This window comes from Homo sapiens, chromosome 6 (genome assembly GCF_000001405.40).
Source record: "Homo sapiens chromosome 6, GRCh38.p14 Primary Assembly".
NCBI lineage: Eukaryota > Metazoa > Chordata > Mammalia > Primates > Hominidae > Homo > Homo sapiens.
The window spans coordinates 24,927,391-24,951,358 of record NC_000006.12 but is presented as its reverse complement, the minus strand read 5'-3'; the positions used below and the strand labels follow the sequence as shown (position 1 = coordinate 24,951,358).

At 40.0% G+C, this 23,968-nt stretch overlaps 1 protein-coding gene, 1 long non-coding RNA gene and 1 pseudogene across 11 annotated transcripts in view, besides 2 other annotated features; 1 reads left to right on the top strand and 2 right to left on the bottom strand.

The window, feature by feature from the left end:
* RIPOR2 (RHO family interacting cell polarization regulator 2) overlaps positions 1–23,968 on the top strand; it is a 237,885-nt gene that overhangs the window by 90,810 nt on the left and 123,107 nt on the right. For 4 of the 9 annotated variants that reach the window (NM_001286445.3, XM_047419591.1, XM_047419592.1 and 1 more), the window contains exon 1: positions 15,399–15,521. The exons of the other annotated variants lie outside the window; for them this stretch is intronic. In NM_001286445.3, the coding sequence (NP_001273374.1) occupies positions 15,461–15,521 (61 nt within the window). In that variant the 5' untranslated portion in view covers positions 15,399–15,460. Of the gene's footprint in view, positions 1–15,398; positions 15,522–23,968 lie in introns of those variants that run through there. 9 annotated transcript variants of the gene reach the window in all.
* On the bottom strand, positions 868–17,384 carry LOC105374981 (uncharacterized). Of its 2 annotated transcripts, XR_007059514.1 has the most exons (3): positions 17,295–17,384; positions 16,989–17,113; positions 868–2,262 (listed from the first exon to the last, which is right to left on the bottom strand). It is a non-coding gene; the product is annotated as an uncharacterized LOC105374981 (long non-coding RNA). The 2 variants fall into 2 exon arrangements; XR_007059513.1 differs by lacking the exons at positions 16,989–17,113; positions 17,295–17,384 and adding an exon at positions 15,123–15,314.
* On the bottom strand, positions 3,015–3,479 carry MTCO2P33 (MT-CO2 pseudogene 33; annotated as a pseudogene).
* Positions 14,517–14,686: an enhancer, noted in NCBI's record as "active region_24161". NCBI's record gives its function as "activates an Ori minimal core promoter by ATAC-STARR-seq in GM12878 lymphoblastoid cells {active_cell/tissue: GM12878}" and the evidence as "EXISTENCE:reporter gene assay evidence [ECO:0000049][PMID:35858748]".
* Positions 21,784–21,903: an enhancer, noted in NCBI's record as "active region_24160". NCBI's record gives its function as "activates an Ori minimal core promoter by ATAC-STARR-seq in GM12878 lymphoblastoid cells {active_cell/tissue: GM12878}" and the evidence as "EXISTENCE:reporter gene assay evidence [ECO:0000049][PMID:35858748]".

Genomic DNA, 23,968 nt, shown 5'->3' with positions numbered 1-23,968 from the left:
TGAGAAAATGTCTATTTGCCCCTCTCTTACAAAAAACCTGGGGGCTGCAGCACTTAGAAGACAACACAAGTTCTCCTGAGCATAAAAACCATAATCAGGCTCTGTGTAATGGTAGTTCCTCTGCCTAATATTGGGAGGTAGAGCAAAGGTCACTGTAGGGCAGAGTGTTCCGATCACCCTGACACCTGTGACCTGGTGACCACCCACTACTCTCTCAGGTGTCATTCTACCACTTCCATGTTGATATGAACTTCTAAAGTCTCTGATCGCTCTTGCCTAGAGAACTTCTGGAAATCAATGAAGTCATTGATTTTTAAAATGTCTGGAACATTGATTTCTATCAGGCCTCACGCAAAGATCTTGGCTGACCTTTGTCTTCTAGGATGTCGCAGTCTAGCAGGGCATGCTGCCTTCAAAACTGACACACAAGACCTAGATCCTGTGGCTGCAAGTCTAATGCCTGGACTGTGTTCTATGGTACTGCAGAGGTCAGCAGAGAAAATAAAAGATTTGAGAAATCAGCACTAAAGCAGCAAACCCTATGCACCCAACCCCATCCACCTCGCCTGTTAGATAGCTGCACTTTAGGCTTGTTTAAATGAATATATTTTCTTTTTGTTCAGATGGAACAGTTCAGTCATCCCTGTAAGAACTTTCTGGCATAGGTTTCCACAGGTTTGACTCACTGGCTCTTCAAAAGTGTTTTGGCTTGCTCCGGTGACCCTGCCATGTTTCATGTCCCCTACTGCCCATTCACTTAGATTCCTTGTCCTTAATCTCTGCATCAGTAAAGTGAGGACAGACACACTGAGCTCCCTTTTACTTCGTAAGGAAAACAGAAGGATAAGCCACACATACTCCCAAGTATCTTAGGGAAAATGTGCCTTTATTGTCATTAATATTGTCATCATAAAGTAAACCATGAGATTACAGGATTGTGCAAGAGTGAATGCAGAGCCCAAATTTTTCCAAGGGTGAATAAAGGATGGTTGAATAGGAGGGAGGGAGGGAGGAAGAAAAGAGAAAGAATCTTGCATTTAAGACAAGCATTGCCAACTTTCTGCCTTCACAGAGTGATCTGGCCCAAGCAAGTACTTGACAGGATTATTATTATCAGATAATACCTATAATCAGCAATACCATATTACTTTTGCATAAAGTTTTTACTAGAAACCATCCAATGAAACACTACTAGGTGCTCTTCCAGGAACATTTGATACTCAGCACCTTGGTTCATAGCAGCACCGGGCATTTATACTACCCTGTAAATAGCAACAACTGAACTACATGGATGCAACAGGCAGCTGGTTGCATTTGCAACGTTTTTGACACTAGGTCATCTCTAGGATGAGCAGTGAATATAGTGAGAGAGTGGAGCCACCCCTTCCCCGCTCTGCTTCCTCCACCTCACTCACTCACAATACTTAACAACTCTCCTATTTGGTACTTTGTTAAAACTTTGGATGAAATTTCATAAGAAAATAATTCACCCAGAATTCTAACATTTCTCCAGGGGCTGCCCCTTCCAGGTGGTGGGCTATAGCACCCAGGGGCTTTCCCTGAGGGACAAGGAGCTAGGCCCTGGTGAACTCTTGCTAACCAGCTTCAGATCTCTGAGGGGCCACTTCTTCACCTCAGGGTGGCTAGTGAGCCCTGCGCCCCATTGCCACCATGGGTTTCCATGATATTAGAAGATGGGAATATAATATTTATACTGTTTTTGGCATTTGCCAAGTCCCCACTGGAAAAAGCAAGCTGGCATACCTTTATTTACTCCTGCCCATTTTCTCCAAGGTTGCTTAGAGTCCCCAGAAAGCTGGCCCAACCTACCTATTTCACGAAACCTGACCCTAAAGATGTCCTGAAAAGCCCTGAGACCCTTCACGTGCAGAGGCTGAGAGGGCAATCTAATGACTCTACTGCTGAATTTGCAAGGATACGGGTTTATAACCGTTGGTAAGGTGAGAAGTCTCTAAAATCTGCTGTAAAAACACCTTTTAAAGGCTTCAACCTCGTGATACTTTCATGAGGTTTGAGTTCTGGGTTTTGCTTCTTGTTTTTTGGAGAGCTGGCGGCTTTCTGCTCCCCTCCCTCTTGAAACTATGGTGTTTCTATCTTCTTGCTTTCTCCTCCTCTGGCCCCCAGCATTTTCCTTGGTCTACACCCTTGTTTGTAAGTCTTGGTTCACTGCCTTCAGCGCTGTTTGTGGTCTCAGAGAGGATGGGTGGCGCTTTTCAAATTGTTGTCACACCAGATATGGTTCTAAGAAAAGGAAAAAAAAAGATACTATTTGAAGAGTTAAGGAGGAGAGAGTGACATGGATGTACAGAGATGAAATGAGCCCTGGATTGTTTTTGACACCTAAGAGAAGTCAGGGAACAGGGACAAGAGGGAGAGGGTTGGAGAGAGGAGGAAAAGGGGCCAGAACCAGTGCCTCAGAAGCTTGACCCATTGGTCGTTACAAAGTTTCCCTGTGGTCAACCTGAACTGACATTTAAAAGGCAAAAAAATGTTTGAAATAGGAGAGTGGCTGGGCGTGGTGCCTCACGCCTGTAATCCCAGCACTTTGGGAGGCCAAGGTGAGCGGATCACCTGAGGTCGGGAGTTTGAGACCAGCCTGACCAACATGGAGAAACCCCATCTCTACTAAAAATACAAAATTAGCTGGATGTGGTGGCTCATGCCTGTAATCCCAGCTACTCGGAAGGCTGAGGCAAGAGAATCTCTTGAATCCGGGAGGCAGAGGTTGCGGTGAACCGAGATTGTGCCATTGCACTCCAGCCTGGGCAACAAGAGCGAAACTCCATCTCAAAAAAAAAAAAAAAGAAAGAAAGAAAGAAATAGCAGAGTGATTAATAACTAACAACTCCCATGAGCAATCATCTGAGACAGACACAGAGCAGTGAAGGAGAGGAATCTGGGCTCATCATCCTAATGCTCAGAGGTTCTCTTCATAGTCAGGTATTCTGGGGATTGCATCTGTTTTGAGGCCCAATGAGGGGATAGTTAGTTCATGAGTGCAGGACATCTTCGGATGAGATTAATATACGGATGGGGATCTCTACTGGGAGAATTGTTTGGTTATCAACATCCAGGAATCGAAGTTTTCCTGGCTTTAAGTCTGCTGTTGGGACTATATAAGAATCGAAGACTAATTCTTCATAGCCTGTATATTCATAGCTTCAATATCATTGGTGGCCAATTGCTTTGACAGTGATAGAAGGGTTGTTAACCTCATCTGTTATGTACAGAACACGTAAGGATAGGAGGGCAATTAAAATTAAGATAATGGCAGGTAAAATAGTTGAGACAGTCTCGATTTTTTAGGCATCTATGATGCTAGTATGAGTTAATTTTTTGGTGAGTATTAGGAAAATAATGTATAGGACCAGGGAACTAATTAGGAAAATAATTATAAGAGCGTGGTCATGGAAAGTGAGCTCTATAATAGGGGATATAGCGTTTGAAGGCCAAATTGAACTAGACGAGCTATTAAAACATGCGAGAGTTAACTTATACATTAAAAGTTGAGGCAATATCTCATTTTTTTTCTTTTTTCTTTCTTTCCTTCCCTTCCTTCACTGCTCCTTCCTTCCCCTTCCCCTACTCTTTTCCTTCCCCTCCCCTTCCCCCTACTTTTTCCTTCTCCTCCCCATCCTTTATTTGAAAGAGAAGAAAAGGTAGAGCCCCTTTTTGAAGAAGATCAAGGCTGCTAATTAAACTGTAAGGAATCAGAGGAGAATTGCACCATCTTCTTTCTCCACCAGTCCCAGGTCAGGAAAACATGAGACTTTATTCCCTCCTGAGCAGGACCGTTCCATAATTCGGTCCACAGGACACGTTTTCTTTTCTTTTATTCTGGGGTTTTGTTTTCACTGTTTCATTCTTTATCGTAATTTATTAATACATTTCAGACATTAAAGTAGGAAGGTACATTCAGGGTTGAGCCTTCTAGTACACAAAAGAGGAATGGTGATTTCTTACTCGATAATTCTTCATTTCCTCCATCCAAATTGACCCAAATGCATGTAGTTCTTCCTGGATGCCTGACAGAGCAGAGTTAGAGTGCATCTAAGGTGAGCCCAAAACCCGAGACGGAGAGTTGAGGTGTGTTTCAGCCTTATCTGGGCCCACGTCTGTCCTGTAGCATTGATAGGCACCCAGAGCCGAATTTGCGGGAGGGAAGGCTGAAGTTTTAAATCAAGGAGTGTCTCTGGATATCCTCCCACGGAATCTTTAAAAAAACAGACACAATCTGGAAGTATTTTCCTTCCAAAAGAAGAATATTCTGCTCCTCCTTCACGTTTTCTCTTTCTTCCTCCTTTTTTCTTTCTTCTTTCTTTCTGTCACATAGTCTTCAAAATATCTCTTTCTCCAAATTGTTTTTCTGTCTCTGTATAGTCAGAGGTCACTGAAACACATATACTGAAAAGAAGCCACGCCAGGAAGAATTTTCAAAAACACTTGGCCAAAATCAACTTAACAAGTCCTGAATTCTAAATCCTTGTTTTATTCCTTCTTTGAGGACAAGAAATTTGGAGGCCAAAAAGAAATACGTCAGGAGAGACTGGGTCACAGCCCACAAAGCTAGTATGTGCAAAGGGATGGCACTGCGAAGCCTACCTCCTGCAGGGTCCAGACCCCTTGGGCCCCTATTTCTTTTGGCTCCCCCAGGAACCCCCTGATCCCAGTCCCTGCCCTACAGGTCCTGCTGTAGTCCTACTCTGCTCAATGTGAGATCTGCACCAGTAGTCTTTAACCATCTTATTTTATTTATTTATTTTTTGAGACGGAGTCTTGCTTTGTTGCCCAGGTTGGAGTGCAGTGGTGCGATCTTAGCTCACTGCAAACTCCACCTCCCAGGTTCAAGCGACTCTCCTGACTCAGCCTCCTGAGTAGCTGGGATTACAGGATACAAGGTTTCCAATGCGTGAAGGTATGTAATTTTTCAGAATCTACTTTGGGCTTTAAAAATGAGACGGTTGGCAGGGTGCGATGGCTCACACCTGTAATCCCAGCACTTTGAGAGGCCGAGGCAGGTGGATGGCCTGAGGTCAAGAGTTTGAGACCAGCCTGGCCAACATGGTGAAACCTCATCTCTACTAAAAATATAAAAATTAGCTGGGCATGGTGGTGTAATCCCAGCTATTTGGGAGGCTGAAACAAGAGAATTGCTTGAACCCAGGAGGTGGAGGTTGCAGTGAGCTGAGATCATGCTACTGCACTCCAGCCTGGGCAACAGAGTAAGACTCTGTCTCAAAAAAAAAAATTAATTAAAAATAAATAAATAAGTAAATAATTATCATCTTCCAGCATGAAATCAAAATTTTATTAGAAATGTATCTCTTAATGAGATGAGTGAGGTTGACTTTCTTTCAGTGAGTTCATTTATCCATGGATGAATATTACTTTTGCTACAGTGAGACAGGAATTTGTAAAAATATTCATATTTTATTTATATAGGTGTAAGCACTAAGAAGCCAAGTTCACATAAGAAAATAAACGAGAATAAAAGAAATTTTTTATAGAGGTATCACTGAATTATTTGTGCTAAATTGATATTTTTCTAGTTTATAATTTGAATTTTTCTATTGGTTCTTTTACTACACTTTTTATTTATTTTCTTAGTGATCGCCTTGGGGATTACAATTAACATCTTAATTTATAGCAATCTAGTTTAGATTAATACCACTTTAATTTCAAGAGAATATAAAAACTTTTATCCTCTATCACTCTACTCATTCCCCTCTTCTTTGTGCTGTTATTGTCATACAAATTACACCTTTATATATTATATGCCCGTCAACACAGATGTATAATTATTGTTTTACGCAATTGTCTTTTAAATCAGATGAGGGAAAAGAGTTACAAACAAGAAATACATTTGTACTGTCTTTTATGTTTACTTATGAAGTTACTTCTACCAGTGCTCTCTATTTTTTCTTATGGCTTTGAGTTACTGTCCAGTGTCTTTTATGTCAACCTAAAGGACTGTCTTTAGCATTTCTTACAAGGCAAATCTACTAGTAATACACTTCCTCAGCTTTTGTATATCTGGAAATATATTTATTTCTCCTTCATTCTCAAAGGATAGTTTTGCTGGATATACAATTCTTAGTTGACAGTTTTTTTGTTTTTATTTTTTACTTTCAGGACTTTATATATGCTGTCCCCTTTCTTCTGCCTTCTATGGTTTATTTCTTTTTTTTAATTGATATATGGTAATTGTACATATTTTGGGGGTACATGTGATATTTTGATACATGTATGGAATATATACAAATCAGAGTAATTGGGGTATCCATCACTTCAAACATATATCTTTTCTTTGTGGCGGGAACATTACAATTCTTCTTTTCAGCTATTTTGAAATATATAATAAATTACTGTCAACTATAATTTCCCTACTGTACTGTCAAACACTAGAACATATTTCTTCTATATAACTATTTTTGTGCCCATTAACCAACTTTTTTTCATCCCTTTGCCCTTTATTGCTTCTAATGAGAAATTGCTTTTTAGTATTATTGAAGATCCATTGTATATGGCAAGTCACTTTTGTTTGGGTGAGATGCTCTTTGTTTTTGACTTTCTACTGTTTGATTATGATGTGTCTAGTTGTGGATTTCTTTGAGTTTATCCTACTTGAAATTCATTGAGCTTCTTAGATTTATAGATTAATCTTGTTCATCAAATCTGGGAAGTTTGCAGCCAACATCTTCTGGGCTTCATTAGGGACTTCCTATTGATTGTTTATTTTTCCTGTGTATAGACCATACTTTCTTGCTTCTTTGCATGTTTCATAATTTTTTGCTGAAAACGGGATGTTTAAAATTATATGGAAACTCTGGAAATCAGATTCTCCCTACTCCCCCAAGGTTTTTGTTGCTGTTCTTGTTGTTTTTTTAGTGACTTTTCTGAGATAGTTCTGTAAAGTCTATATTGTTTGTCATGTGTGGCCACTGAAATCTCTGCTTGATTAGCTTAGTGGTACACTAATGACTGAACAGAAATTTCTTTAGATGCCTGGGACCAATAAATCTTGCAGTCTTTGCCAAGGGGTTCTATATGCACACTAGGACACACTTTCAATGCTCAGTTAAGCACTTTACAACTCTGCCTTAGCCTTTACTTTCTGCTTCTGGAGAGCCTTAAGGTTAGCCAGTGGTCAGACCTTAGGGCCTTCTCAAGTATTTTCTGAGCATATACACAGCTGTGGGCATGCACGTAGCCCTATATAGGCTTCACCTTCTAGATTCCCAGGAATATGTGGGAGCTTTTCAAAGTCTCCTATGGGCATCTCATTCCCAAGCTTTTTCTTTTAAGCTTTTTGTTAAGCCTATTGTTTGCCCCTAACTCTAATCCACTGACTTAGGCGGCTGCAGTATTGACTAATTGCCTGTGATTCTTTTCAACAAACACCCCCAAGGAAAAGACTGTTCACACTTGGCAACTCTAAATCAGATTAAATAAAAAGGCTTGTGAGTGAAGTCTTCCAGAGAACCACCAGACAGGTCAAATAGTGACAGTTTTGGGGGAATGGGACTTTGGGGGGAATGGGACTTTGAAGAAGCTTTATCTCCATTCTGCAACCATTCCAATAGCTGCCAGGCTGTTGATTTTCACTGTGATTGCAGGCTGCTGATTTTCAAGGCTACCACAGAGATAAGGTGAAGTGTGTGGAAGCTGGTAAATTAAAATGCCATAAAACTCATTGTTCTATTGAAATTCAGCCATTTTTCTTGAATAAATGCTCCTGGATTGCTGTAAGCCTTTGGTTAATTTCCAGCCTTCTGCAAAAGTCGATACTGGCCATTTTCCCAGTTTCTTATTGCTTTTATGGAAGAAAGGCTTTATTATTATTATTATTATACTTTAAGTTTTAGGGTACATGTGCACAACATGCAGGTTAGTCACATACGTATGCATGTGCCATGTTGGTGTGCTGCACCCAATAACTCGTCATTTAACATTAGGTGTATCTCCTAATGCTATCCCTCCCTGCTCCCCCTACCCCACAACAGGCCCCAGTGTGTGATGTTCCCCTTCCTGTGTCCAAGTGTTCTCATTGTTCAGTTCCCACCTATGAGTGAGAACATGCAGTATTTGATTTTTTGTCCTTGCGATAATTTACTGAGAATGATGGTTTCCAGCTTCATCCATGTCCCTACAAAGGACATGAACTCATCATTTTCTATGGCTGCATAGTATTCTATGGTGTATATGTGCCACATTTTCTTAATCCAATCTATCATTGTGGGACATTTGGCTTGGTTCCAGGTCTTTGGTACTGTGAATAGTGCTGCAGTAAACATATGTGTGCATGTGTCTTTATAGCAGCATGATTTATATCATTCAGGACATAGGCATGGGCAAGGACTTCATGTCTAAAACACCAAAAGCAATGGCAACAAAAGCCAAATTTGACAAATGGGATCTAATTAAACTAAAGAGCTTCTGCACAGCAAAAGAAACTACCATCAGAGTGAACAGGCAACCTACAGAATGGGAGAAAATGTTTGCAACCTACTCATCTGACAGAAGGCTAATATCCAGAATCTACAATGAACTCAAACAAATTTACAAGAAAAAAACAAACAACCCCATCAAAAAGTGGGCAAAGGATATGAACAGACACTTCTCAAAAGAAGACATTTATATAGCCAAAAGACATATGAAAAAATGCTCATCATCACTGGCCATCAGAGAAATGCAAATCAAAACCACAATGAGATACCATCTCACACCAGTCAGAATGGCAATCATTAAAAAGTCAGGAAACAACAGGTGCTGGAGAGGATGTGGAGAAATAGGAGCACTTTTACACTGTTGGTGGGACTATAAACTAGTTCAACCATTGTGGAAGTCAGTGTGGCGATTCCTCAGGGATCTAGAACTAGAAATACAATTTGACCCAGCAATTGCATTACTGGGTATATACCCAAAGAAAGGCTTTTTAAAGGTCTTTATGTCAGCGTTTTCTCTAATATCCAATCTCTTTTAATTTTTTGTCAATCGTATGTCAAATATCATGTAATAAATTATTATTTAAAAATACATTTCTTGATCCCATAGTATCAACTCGGTAAGATCTTCCTTCAGTTCCTTGAAAACAAATAATTAGAAAGTTTGTGATTTACCAAAGGATCAAGTACTAGTCATTAAATAAAATTCATTTTTTCAATAACAATATTTTATATTGTCTCTTATTTTGCCACCCAGTGACTTATGTGCTATCAAGCAATCTTTCATTATAAGATTTAGGGTGCACAAAATGCATGCCTTTCTTTAAAAGTTGAGAAAGTTATATCTTCTCATCTTGCCTTCTTTGGCTGTCTTGGGTCTGGGGTCACATTCTGGGAGGAAGGATTGTAATTCTCCTTAAACTTTCCCCACATCTCTCACAGACATGGAAGACTGTTCCTTTCTGTCTTCTTAAAGTTTATTTTCCTGTGTATCTTTTCTCCACCCCTTCTGTCACTTTCTGTAGCTCCCACACCAAGAAATTTGTCTTGAGGTTAAAAAAAGGGGAGGAGGGGCAGACTGTACAGTGATCCCTGAAAATGCTTTTAAAGTCAATGGTAGGGCCACAGGAAAGGATTCCCATCTCAGTTAATGTTGCCAAACCCTGAGAGGTAAATTTTATTATCAGTAGCAGCTACAGGATTTCTTTATTGGAGAGGCTTTGTGATTACATTCTGGTTGAGACAGAGGGTAAGGCCAGGGACTAGGGACTGGGTCTTGAAGTTGTGTTTGCATTGATAGCACAATGTATTAATATAGATTGTATTTTAATTTGGGACAATTAGTGGGAAAGGGCTGAACTGTCCCTTAACTCAGTAATTGATTATTATTATTCCATTTTACTGATTCAAAGTGAAATTATTAACTCTAGTCAAAGAGCTAGATAGTAACGAAGCCAAGATTGTAACTCAGCCCTGTCAAATCCCAGAACCAGTGCCTTTATATGCTTTTTTTTTTTTCTGTTTCTAGTTGCAAGCTAACCACTCCCAGCAGTCATACCTTTAACCCATAGTTATGACCTTGCCAACCATACCCAATGTGAGTCTTGCCATAGAACTCTCGTTTGCTGGGTTCTTCTCCTTCTTTCGTAAGTGGAAGGAATGGATTCCCTCAGCGGGCAATTACCGTCATTGTCTTTAGTCCCATTGAAGGAAACAGTCCTGGACTTTGGTCAGGCTTCCCCAGCACCTTCAGTAAGTGACTCTAAGTGTGGCTCCTGCAGCCTAATGATGCGCCTGAAACTGGGGGAGGCAGGCAGGAAGACTTCTAAAGGCTCTGGGAGGGTTTTCCTCATGAGACAACCCTCATGAGATTGTACCCATGAGATTGGTACCTCCTCTTTGCAACATGAAAACAAGAATACTATTAAAAATCATGTTCCAGCCAGGCGCAGTGGCTCACGCCTGTAATCCCAGCCCTTTGGGAGGCCAAGGCGGGCAGATCACTTTAGGTCAGGAGTTCAAAATCAGCCTGACCAACATGGTGAAACCTCGTCTCTACTAAAAATACACAAACAATTAGCTGGGCATGGTGGCGCACACCTGTAGTCCCAGCTAGTCTACTGGGGAAGCTGAGGCAGGAGAATCACTTGAACCCGGGAGGTGGAGGTTGCAGTGAGCCAAGGTCGAGCCACTGCACGCCAGCCTGAGCGACAGAGACAGACTCTGTTTCAAAAAAAAAAAATCGTATTCCTTTTGTCCCAGCTCTTTAGACATGGCATTTTACAGTTAGACAAATTAGACAAATTTTTAGGTGCATCTTTACTGGCAAAGTTACCCAAAGATAAGATTATTTCTGACTCTGTGGTTTTTTTCACCTTTTTCTTTTCTGATTCCTACCACTCCTCACAGTTTCAATTCCTCTCTCCTACTTTGTTCTCCTTTCTGTTTCGAACATTTTGCTCCTAATTAGTTCAGGTTTTTCTCCCTGTTCAGAAGTTTGTATATCTGAAAATTAAGTATTTTAAAACACTTTCTGAAAGGAGTGGGAAATTCTCCAGAAGCACAGAGAGAAGATTGTGAGGCTCTTCTGTTGGAATAAAAGCCCACGTTGGATGTTGAAATTTTTCCACTAGTATGGTTTCCTCCTGTACACGCTTCACAGGTGGTATTTTTTTTCAAAACAGCAAACTATGCAGAAATATTTTAAATTAATAAATTATTAATTATTATAGCCTCAATTCTCATAACTCAAAATAATAATACTGTGTTGATATTCATATGTTCAACACAACACATGCCTTCTCACTTATATATTTACTTAAATATTTCACACCATACCTGAAATATAGTAGGTATTCATTACTATTCTCCAAATGAATGAAGTGAGTAAAGTTCCACAAAGCAAGGACCAGACCTTTCATATCATTGTAATTCACAGACCTAGTATGGCATAAAGTGGGCACCAACTCTTTGGAGTATAAAAGCTTTGCTATGTTCCTGTGCTTATGACCTTGATGAAATTCTGCTGTTAAATTTAGTACAGGTTGTCACAAATCACCATTTGATCAAAGTAGTTGCCTTATACTGGTTCATCTATACTTTTGTTCTCTTCCCCAAATCCAATTATTGGAGCTGTTTGCCTCAATCACTGAAAAGCAAGATTCTTTCATTGTTGTTTCAGACTTACTCCTCATTTCTTAGTGAAAACTACTCTCTGTGACCTACATCTCCCTTAACTAAGCACTGAATTTCCCTATCTTTAGTCTTTCTTTTCTAATATGGATTCGAAGGGGATCAGAATGTGTCCCCCAAAATATGCTAATTTAGCATAAGTACTATTTTGAGCTATTTTTGAGAAAGAATCTTCTGCCCTTCTCCTTTCTGCTTTAAGTGCCATAAATTTCCACTTGTAAAGGTGTTTTATTTCCCATCTTGGGTGACTAAGCCTCATGGTCCTCTTCCTGATATGAGAGATGAGTCTGCATAACAATCCTTAGCTATCATACATTCCTAGTTACCTTCCCACAATTTGCCACTCTTAGGAGCCCACTCCCCTACTCTGCCTCCTTTGTCTAGTCACTTCTTCACAGTTTATTGCACTTTGTTAAAATTTTATATAAGCTCAGCATTCTTTTAGACTTTACATAGATAAGAGATAGTGTAGCCTGGTGTTTAAGAGTTTGGACTCTGGGATCAAATCTCAGTACCTCTACCACTTACCAAATGTATGACCTTGGGTGGATCACTTCACCTCTTGGGCCTTAAACTAAAATAGAGATAATAAATATATCTATATCTTAGGGTTGATATAGGAATTAAGTGAATCAAAGCACTTAAAACTGTTGCTGGCACTCTGTGTTAGCGATTACCTACATTTTTTTATTTGCTCATTTTGGACACTCATATAAATATAATTATACCATTTATAATTTTCTGAGACCTTTCAAAGTCAATATTATGTTTTTGAAACTCATCCATATTGATGCATGCATATGTAGTTTATTAATTTTTCTTTTTAGTTAACACATCATGCATGTATGTCATATCTCTCTAAGGTAATTGTAAACTTTGGAGAGCAAGAACCATGTTTTCTATCCTCTGTGCTTTCAAGGAGTTCGTGGTAGCATTTGTGATTTGTTCTTTGAGATGATTAGCTGTGTTTCTGAGATATCTAAATTGGAGAAGAGGAGACTGAGGGAAACTTCCTAAGGGTTATTGAGGTTTTATATGGAGTGTGGTGACTTCTCATTCTCTATCCCCATTGAGCCTTCAATTTGGGAAATATCCTAAGCGTCCCTGTGAGAGACTTAGGCGTATAATTATAACTGGGTATTTACTGTGTACCATGTACTGTGTCAGCTTCTTTACATAAATTATCCTACTTAATCCTCAAAACAAGCCAAATGAGAAAGTATATTATTTTCTAGGACTTCTGTAATGAAGTACCACAAACTGGGTGGCTTAAGCAACAGAAACTTACTGCATCACAGCTGTGGAGGCTAGAAGTCCAAGGTCAAGGTGTTGGCAGGATTGGTTCTTCTGAGGGATGTGAGGGAGAATCTCTTGCAGGCCTCTCCCCTAGCTCATGGTGGTTTACTGGCAGTCTTTGGTGTTCCTTGGCTTGTGGATCTCTGCCTTCATCTTCACATACTATCCTCCCTATGTCTATGTCTTTGTCTAAATCTCTCCTTTTTATGAGGAAGTTAGTCATATTGGATTAAGGACCCATCCTCCTCCAATATGATATAAGTTCATCCTAACTAATTATATCTTCAATGGCCCTGTTTCTAAGTAAGGTCACATTCTGAGGTACTGGGGGTTAGGACTTCAACATATGAATTCAACAGGGGAGACACAATTCCACCCACTTAAAATGAAACAGGCCTACAGAGGTTATGCTAACTTTTTGAAGTGGAATAGCTAGGGCCCTCAGGTTCACGTGGTAACCAGGTAGTTCTGAGGTGGGAGGTGAGGGAGGTAGTGCAGGTCCCCAAGAGCCACGGGGATGCTGCAGTGAACTGGACTGTGTGCAGTCACTCCCATAAGTTGTCCAGACATGAGGTAACAGAGTGAGCTCTGGAATTAGTCAAATCTGCCACTCACTAGCTGCCTGATCTTAGGAATGTTTTTCAAGCCCTCAGAGCCCCCATTGCTTCATCTGTAAAATGGGATAATAGCACCCACCTCATGAAGTTGTGGAGATTAAAGGACATAGGACAGTAGTTGAGAAATGTAGTGATTATCAAAATGGACACCCATCCTCTTATCCCAACCACACAAAAGAGAGCTTTAGTCCACATCCAAATTTCCTACACCTAGGCCCATTTTAATTAATTTAATTTATGTAACTAAGTGCAACCCTTGTCCAGAAACATCATTCAAGTGGGGATCATGGTAGGGGGTGGTAAAAGGGTCAGAAAGGGGAGATGCAAAGGAGAGCTAGAGAAAAGGATAACTCCAGTTCTCTGCCTGTCAGTGTGTCTCAAGGTGGGCATTATTGGTATTTGGAGCTGGACAGTTCTTCCTGTTGAGCTACTGTTCCATGCATTATGGTAAGGTTGATATCCCTGGGCCCCTGAGTGCTAAGACATTAAATACCAGTAATAACCCCCAGTCATTGTGCCACCCAAAACACCCCAGACATTTCCAAGCTCTCCTCTAAGGATGGTTCCAGCCCTGATTGACAACAATTGGTGATCCCAGCAGGACCCAAGCTGTACACTGTCTTTGGGAACTGCTGCAGCCACCAATGCAGGGATGAACTGACTGTTGCTGCTCAGTTAACCCTCAGTGTCTGATTCCTGAATTCCTCTGGGGTGATCCCTTCTCACTGCTGGATTTCTCCAACCCTGTTGTCCACAGTCTCTTCTGGGAGAAAATGGTGCAATTTCAAGGTTGCAGTTACAGGAGGAGGGGACAGTTTCTCTAGGGTAACACTGGGAGTATCTTCAAAACCATGCAGTAAATAAAGTGCCAAAAATAAACACCTTGGGTCAACAGCTCCTCACTGTCATCTCCATTTGCATTTTCTAAGCTTCTGGCCACCTAAGAGATCTTACAACACAGTGGAGTGCTCTGGGAAACCCCGAAATGAAGTCTCAGTATTACTCAGAGAGATGTGTGTTTGTTTGTGCAGCCAGACAGAATTTGGCACACGTTGGGTAGCTCGATATGGTGATGCCAGCCAATGGTGCTCGCGTAGAAGCTCAGTGTTCACTCATCCCTTTGGGAGGACTGCTTTTTGAGTTACATTTTCTTCTTTCTCCTTTAGTGATACAGTCTGAAGTATCAAACTGAGTAAATATTGTGAAATGCAAGATGTTTGACCAAAACCAGTTATCTATTCATTGACTATAGATTTAATCGAGCCACATAAAGCCTAGATATGGTTCAGTTTGGTTTAAATGCTGTAAAGTTTCCAATCCTTAAATGCAAGAGGTTTGAAAAAAAGAAAAGAAAAGAAAAGAAAAATGCAACTATTACTGAGCAAAATAAAAGCTCTGTCCTCTAAATGCCTGCTTTGGTTTAACATAGTGGCTTGCTTTACTTTCAGATAAATTGTAATTGAAGCAAAACCAAGATATGAGAAATATGAACTCCCTCTTTCAACAAAACCCATTGTGTTCAAATTCATAAGCAAGAAAGTTAAGCACCCACCTTCCTCTTTAAGGAAATATGAAAGTTGTTGCTTTGAAATAGAATTCATTGCATTCAGACTTTGAGTGATATCTGTATTCATATCCAACCGGATCTGCAGCCCTCTTCAAAAAATTCTTTCTCCTCAGTGGTGAGAATTACCCCACCTGGGATTCACTCTTCACAAGGCTCAAGAAGCCTATTCATATGAATGAAACTGCTTTCTTCAGGGCAGATGCGGAAGCTGCCCTCCAGAGGGCTTGGGCAACCCAAGGAAAGGAAATCACCTCGGTCGGCAGTGTGACTGCTGAGACTGCCGGGGCTGCTGCCTGCTGCTTCTCGCGCCTGTCCTCTCCAAGATGCAGTTTTTTGATGCTGAGGAGCTCCTGGTCGATGAAGAGGATGATGTTTTTGGTGAAGGTAAATGCATCTTTCTGGCAGGAGGCTCTCCGGTCTGCTTTGCTTTGTTTTGACACCACTGGACACTTTTGCCCAGCTTGGGCAAGGACTTGAGTATTTTGAAATGATAAAAACAAAGCATCCTGAGTGAGGTAGTGGCTGCAAATATCAACTTAGGCACTGAAGGAATACACAAGGCAAGGGGTGGAACAAGGGGTTGAGTCATTCCCGCAAATACATTTTTTAAAGTCATGACTAAAATAAAGGTTTAGTTTAGGCTGGAAAATAGTACTAAATTTTTTGCCTTGTCTCTCTTCTGTGCTATCTCTTGTCTAACACCTTAAGGAAAGCCTGTCACAGTGGTTTGAGCACAGCAGGGCTGCTAGGGAAGAAGTTAAATAAATGGACCAGGAGTGGTTTTTCATGGTACCATGTTGCTTTGATTTGCACTTCTCTCTTTCTGTCTCTCTCTCTCTCTGTCTCTCTCTCTCTGTCTATCTTTCTCTCGGTCCTTCTCTTTTTTTTTTTTTTTTTTTTTGTTGTTGTTTTTTGAGACAGAGTCTTGCTTTGTTGCTCAGGCTGGAGTGCAGTGGTGCAATCTCAGCTCACTGCAACCTCCGTCTCCCGGGTTCAAGTCATTCTCCTGCCTCAGCCTCCCAAGTAGCTGGGACTACAGGCGCCCACCACCATGCCCAGCTAATTTTTGTATTTTTAGTAGAGATGGGATTTTGCCATGTTGGCCAGGCTGGTCTTGAAATCCTGACTTCAGGTGATCCACCCTCCTTGGCCCCCCAAAGTGCTGGGATTACAGGCGTGAGCTACCATGCCCGGCCTGGGTCCTTCTCTCTTACTCTTCCTCACACATACTTGGCACTCCAACCCTCCATTCCCTTTTCCAATTTTCTTTTTTCCCAAGTCGGGATACTGGAGCCCTGGTAGCTTCCAATCCCCATTGGCACTGCTCAGTTTTCTGTTCTCATCTTGCAGCTTTTCCATGACTTGACCTATCCACTGGAATTTAACTGTAAAGGTTGCGATTTTAAAGGGATGATCTAGTCATTGGATGGATGTTTTGTTCAAATGCTGCCTATGAGATTGGGCTATAGGCAAAAGCTTTTTTAGAATTTGGAGCCACCTAAATAAAGGAAATTTGGACTCAAGAATCTCGTGAATTTGATTATTTTCCGCAAGAAACTACGTCTAGCAATTTTTTAAAAAACTCTATTCAGTAATTTTTTAAAAGGAACAGTAGTAAGGTTTTTGTGTATGTGTAATTACCCAAGCAATACAAGTTCGCTGAAGAAAAATTAGAGTGTCGCAAAGAACCCCTTGTAATCTAGTCATGTAGAATGTAATCATGGTTAATATTTTGATGTTGTCTTTCTGCTATGTTGTTCTAGCTACAGAAATATTTAAAATCATTAGTTGGGTTTTTATCACAACTTAAATCAATTTGAAGAATATCTATTGAGCTTCGCTGCTGTTTACCAAGTTATCATTCTGTTGTGTTACTTTGATGGCAGGCGTTTAGGCCACCAACACCTTGAAGTTTGATCTTAGGCCCCATTCTTCAGCTTTCACTTCTTAAAGATGTTTCCTCTTTAAGCAAACACCTTAAAGAGAAAATTTATACTTAGATACTAACTCTTTTGAGGACCTGAAAAATGCTCACAACTATGAAGATAAGCTTAGAACGGAAAAATTGGCAATCATTCACCCACACCTCCCTCCAGGAATGGCATTCCAAAACGCCCAGCCCACATTTCTTTGCCTATAGGAATTTTGCTCTTTTACATCTGGCTATGATACTTAAGAGCGCCCTCTATAGGCTGATGCACTGCACTCTGGATTATGCGTGGCCCCATCCTGAAGGGAAGCGTTAAGACCAAGCAGGGCTGGATGAACCTGTGTGTTCTCTCTCCTGAGCATTCATCATTTCCAAGGTGATTATTGTAACCTCACTAACCATGTTGTAGTGGAATGGCTGAGGTCCCCAGGTTCCAGGTAGCTAGGTAACCAGCTAGCTCTGAGGTGGGAAGTGAGGGAGGTAGTGCAGGTTGATAAGTTGGGAGTCAAACGAGATTCAGACTCAGATTCTGGTTCTGCTTCGTGGTACCCATACAAGCTAACTTTGGTCTCCTCAATGGTGAAGTGGGACAGTAATACCTATCGGTTGTACAGATTATCTTCATAGTAGATGCATAATGTTTGCGTTGCACTTCAATGTGGTATGCTTTATCTTTTCCAAACTGATTATCTCATTTAACTTAATCCCTAAAGATTAAAGAGAAAATCCTTGCAAGGCCAACATCCAGTGTATTTTTATTCAGTTTTCAGAGCCGTGGCTCATGTTTGGCAATTTATGTGAAAGCATGTCCAGCTGCTGCCTCATTTTAAGCAAGCTCTGTGTGGGGTAACAGTCAAAAGCTTCAGCTCTGGAATTGCACGGTCTAGGCTTTGCCAACCAATTCACTTATGACCTTAAGCAGGTTACCTAATCTCTCTGTGCCTCAGTTTACTCACTTATAAAATGGAGTCCAAACCTCATATGGCTGTGTGTGGCTTAAGTGTTATGATAGGGAAAGCTTTTAGAATAGTGGTCAGTACTTAATACATATGAATCCCTATTGTCTATTTACAAAAATGGGTTTATAGAATAGTGACCATTTTTTCACGTCTGGTTAACCTCAGATTCAAAATAGGACTTATTTACAGAACTTCAGTTTATAAATAACTTTTCAGAGGTTTAACGTGGCAGATATAGCACTGAACAAGTTGTTAGGAGTCTGAGTTGTAGCCTTGCCCCTGCTGTGGTATAGCTGGAGGATCTTGGGCAAGTCATTTATCTTCTTTGAGCCTCATTCTTCTTCTGAAACAAGGGGACTGATTACACATTCTCTGAGCATTCTACTACCCAGTCTCCAGTCTTTACTTCAAAATGATGTATCTACCTGTAAAAGTTCATGCTTGTTCTAGGATTCACGCATACTTTCAGCTCACTTAACATGCCTAAGCAGAAAGCTTTTGGCACAATGAGTTTTCCGTAACATAAAAAAAGGAAAATGCCCAGAAGCTTGTTATTAGGGCAACTATATTTCCTTGCAATTGACACATTTTTAAGATCCCTTTCTCCTAGAGGTTACACAGATTTAGAATTTAGGTGCATTTGCTTAAAAGTATATATAAATCCATTTAGATATATGGACACTATAAAGATCTGGGAAGAAAAAAAATGAGTCAATGAGTCATCCTCACAATGTATTTTTTAAACTGCCTTTCTGAGATCCTGTTTGCTTCAGCAATTGTTTTTTGTGGTTAAAGGAAATGTTAAGGTTCACAGAACTTCGGAGCATTGGTGTGTAACTGCTCTTGTTCTAAAACAGGTTGCATATAGTGAGAGAGAAAGAGAAAGAGAGACAGAAAGAAAAGGGATTCACCTACACACTGCAAATCCCAATGTCTGTTCTCTCTCTGTCTCTCCATCTGTTTCTTCTCTCTCTTTTTCTCTCTCTCATACACACACACACACACACACACACACACAGTCTTAAGTTTGCTTTCCTAACAACATCATCACGTCATTTAGAAAATGGTTACTCTCAAGTAGGCTTAATCTTTCCTGGAGAAATGATTCATTTGATTATCAAGGTAGTGAAAAACCAGTAGTTAGCCTTACAGACTCTTTTCCCATTGTTCTTTCAAACTTATCAAATTAAAGGGCTTTCATCTGTTTTGTCACTGTGTGATCTTGACAGCCAGTCTGGTCAGTGTTAGTGGAAATAACTGGATGGGTAATAATGGTAATGACTACAACAATGCTGCTGCTGCTGATGATGATGATGACAATGATGATGACAATTGAAAAAAGGAAAAAAGAAGGGCCATGCACAGTGTAGGTTCCTATCCTGCTTTCAAGAACAGAACAGAATTCACGTGTGGGAGCAAACGGCTCACCAGGTGGTGGTCAGTGAGTATTTTAGCAGCCAAAATTACTCCTTGGCACAAGTTAAAGCTGCAATTGCTTCTTTCCTTAGAAACGCAACCCGCCCCGCCTCCATTTTCAGCACTGCTCAGTAATCTTTTGTCAGGTGCAATGATTAGAATAATAAAACACCCCAAGTTCACAGTAAGTGTGCAAAGTATTTCTCAGGTTCTTGTATTTCCTGGACACTTACATGCCTTTTAAGATTATGCTTGAAGATCACAAGAAACTACAAAGCATTTGTCAGATTTTCAAATGTCCCCCAGAGCTGGTAGAGTGCAACTGAGCATGAGAATACTTCTGTCCTGGATAACTGTGTCTGAGAAAGTTGTTTCAACCTCCACAAAGGAGGGGAACTCTCCCAGATGGAGATGAACTGGCAAAAGGAAGTCCATTCAACCATTAGCTGCCTGTTGCTCTTAAGGAGACTAACAGCTGGTTGGAAAAAAATTGGCAGTCACTTTTGAACCAAGCCTCTCTCCTTTCTCCAAGCCAAGTAAGTTAGCACTTTTTCCTTTTCAAAGGGAACTTCAGGTCAGAGGGAGCAAGAAGACTACAAAACACTTAACACACACACACACACAAAAAGAATTGTAATTAGGATAAATACCTATTTTTTTTGTCTTTCCATGTAGGCTGTTTACAAAACCAAGGTAGTATTTTTCTTTTAATAGGTAAATAATTATGCAATCTGGTATAATCTGGAATATTTTGATATTGTTTCCTGAATTGTATTTGCTCCTTCCAAAATTAATAGAAAGAAGAAAGGGGAAAAAAGCAATTAAATTCATATTATGTACAAAACTAGTAAATGTTGAAAGTTCAGACTGGTTAAGTCATACCCTCCATGGAAAAAGTAAGAGAAATCAAATGTAAAAGTATATGAGCCTTGGCTAGAGAGGATTGGAGATTTTTGTGTGATTATGCCACATTTTATAACATAAATAAATACAAGCATTGCTATTTAACTATGCTGAATCTTTCTCAAGAAATATCTGGGTTTCTCAAGTGGACCCAATAACGGGATTGGAAAAGGGGCAGAAAGAGGCTGCCCTAGTTTCCTGGGTTGAAAAGAATTGGTCACTCTTTGCTTTCACAATTTGCCAAGATTGCTTGGATCAATTTCCACCCCCGAATTCCTGGATAAATGCTTTAGTTGGAAGTCACTTTCCCTACTTTATTTGTCCCAGGGTCTGGAGCAGACAAAGACCTCCCCACAGTAATTCATGCTTGTGTGACCTCTGCCTTGGATTACTGCAAAACATTCTCTTCCCATAGATGTCTAGGAAGCTTTCTTTGGCTGGTGCCAAAGAGATGGTGTCATTGCAGGGGCATAAACTAAAATAGCACATTGCACTAAAGCTATGCAGGCTGTCTTAGCCACCAGTCCACCCCCCTGATTTATGGCCCCCAGTGACCTCAGGGTAACCTGTTTAGATCAGGCCAATGCCAAAAGGGGCCCAAAACTACAAGTAAAACATTTTAGATGTTTATTTTAATATCTCTATGAGCAGCAAGCCAAGTCTTAACTTTTTAGGAATGATGTGTGTAAGATATACTAGAGTATGTCTTCTATAGGGCTTGAGTTGAAAACTAAAAGTACATGCATACTCATTGTAGGTATGATAATTTAAACAAAGAAAAAGAAATGTGTAGTTTTTGTGACCAAAATATTAAAATAAATCTGGAGGGTTGCACTCCCACCTCTCTTTTTGATAGAAGCCACTTCACTTACACAAGCCAACATATTTATTAAAAAGATGTGATTTATCTGGCTAACTATGCCTCCTGTATTTTTTCAAGAGACAGGCTCTCGCTCTATCACCCAGGCTGAAGTGCAGTGGTGTGATTGCAGCTCACTGCAGCCTCAACTTCCTGGGCTCAAGGGATCCTCCTGCCTCAGCCTCCAAGTAGCTGGGACTACAGGTGTGCACCACCATATCCAGCTAATTTTTTAATTTTTTTTGTAAAGCCAGCCTCTCACTATGTTGCCCAGGTTGGTCTCAAACTCCTTGCCTTAAGTGATCCTCCCACCTAGGCCTCTCCAAGTGCTGGGATTACAAGCGTAAGCCACCATGCTCAGCCTGCCTTCTATATTTTATTGTGCTAAGCAAATGTCAGTTTATTCAACTTCTCATTTATTTTCGGATGGCAAAATTTTGTCTACTAATTATCTGCCAAAAGCTGTGATGTTTAACTAAAATGTTTAAAATTCAGTTGATTTTGGAAGATATTTTAAAAGAGAAAAGGTATTAGTTGAGACAAATTAAAGTGACTCTTTCAAGTACCAGAAGGACAGAGAAAAGTTGGAGAGCAAGAAAAAGAACTAGTAAATGGTCCTAGAAAGTGAAAATGGAAAGAAGAAAATGAAACTAGAAATGCAAGTGCTAATGAGACAGTAAACTCTCTTGTACTTCCTCATCATTCAGTATGGTCCAGGCTGTGCCAGGTGCTAGTTTCTGGGACCCTGAAATGAGGATGTGCTTGGCTGACTATGAGGGTGATGATTCCATAACATCTGCACACCCTAGGCTGAAGAGGGACGTGTCAAGAGCCTGAACTGTTGGATTCTTGTTGACAGACAAATCAGATCATGTAAGCTAAAAACCATCTTTACTTTGTGCTGTGTAGCCAGAGCATATCTTATCATTTAGAATATTCCTTCCAAAAAAAAAAAAAGAACAATTTAGTTTATCCTTTTCAGATATTTTTAAGAGAAAGATTTTGACCTATGCTGTGATAGCAATCAAAAGCCAGATATAATTGGCAGTGTTTCTCCAGAAAGCAAATTAATAATAATTTATGTCATCATTCTTTCACATGTTGGCTTTCTCTATCTTCAATTTTTTCATGTCTCGGTTTGCTTAAAAAATGCTTCACGCAGAAGATACTTAAAGACACAGTGATGGATACAAAGTAAAACTCTTGAAACTTAAAATATAAATGTGAGAAACATGGGAACTTTTTGGGGTGGGTAAAGTGTCTCTTTTCCAAACTGAGGAAGAGAGAACACACTCGGATCTAGCTTTGTAAAGATTTTCATTAATAGAGAACCTCTAAACAGAGAAGAGATCCTGGGGTTATTTCGTCTGTGGCTATATTACAAGTTTAGTCCTAGACAGCAATTATTTCTAAATAAAATAAAGAGAAGAAAGACGTTGCTGCCTTCCGGAAAGTGATGAGGTTATGGTGCTACTTTTCTCCACAGATTTTTCTTTCTTTGCCTTTGAATTATTGGGAGTTAAAGGTTTAAATATTTATACTATACCACTCACACAGCAACAGCGTAAGAGCAGCTGGTCCCTTCTCCCTCTTGACTTCATTCTAAACTGTTCATTCAGTGTAAGAAGTAACAAAAAGATAACTTGCCTTTCAGATCACAAGATGAGTCAGCTGGCTGAGCCTTTGAGTATAATTTTTTTATTCTCTATAAATTGAACTTCAGAAATCTCTGAGAGAGAATAAATATGAAAACATTTTCTATGGTGGGAATTTTCTTTCTATTTATAACAGCAAAATACACTAGTAGAATGGTATTTAAAAAAATATACCAAAGACTCAAATAAGCAGATATGATTTGTAGAAGGCACTCTTAACTCTCTTAACTGCCTTCAGATAAATTACGTGACTAAAATATTAGGAAAAACAAACTCTTCTCCTTCAACTTGTGGTTCATATGCTGAGGGATACCAAGAATGTTTTTGAGGTAGGGCATGACTCACACCCCTATTAATCTCCACAAGCATCTCTAAAAACTGAAAAATCAATTAAAATTTTTAATCTTAATAGAAAGCGTAATAGAAAGCTTTTTAAAGAAAACATTGCAGTTTTGAGTGGTCTGCATTCTACAATCTGAGTAAAAAATCACGTGTTGCTCTGCAAACAGCTTCTAGAGAAGGCCCAGACCCCTTTTCTAACCATATTGCTGTATTGGGTACTTTGCATACAGAAATTCTGAAGCCATTGTTGTTTTTAAATCTTTGATTTTTAGCTTCCAGACTTCCAAACTGAGGGGAAGTAACATATATGCTGTGGAATGAGCAAAATATTTGAACTCATAAAACCTAGTTCAACTTACTAGTTGTTTGGCTTTAGGCAAATTACCTAACCCCTGAGAAGATTCAATTCCCTTTTTCCAGTGAAAATGATGATAATAAAGGTGATGGTAGTAGTGGTTGTAGTGGTGGTAATGGTGATGATGATTATGATGATACTGATGATGATGGTGGTGGTGGCGGTAGTGGTTGGACTGGTGGTAGTGATGATAGTGGTGGTAGCGATTATAGAGATAATAATAATTGTGGTGGTGGTAAGGTGATGATGATAATAATCATGATGATGATAGTGGTGGTAGTGGTATTGGTTATGATGGTGATGGTAGTGATGGTTGTAGTGGTGGTTATGGTGATGATGATTATGATGATAATGTTGATGATGGTGGTGGTGATAATGGTGGTGATAGTTATAGTTGTGGTGGTGGTGGTGA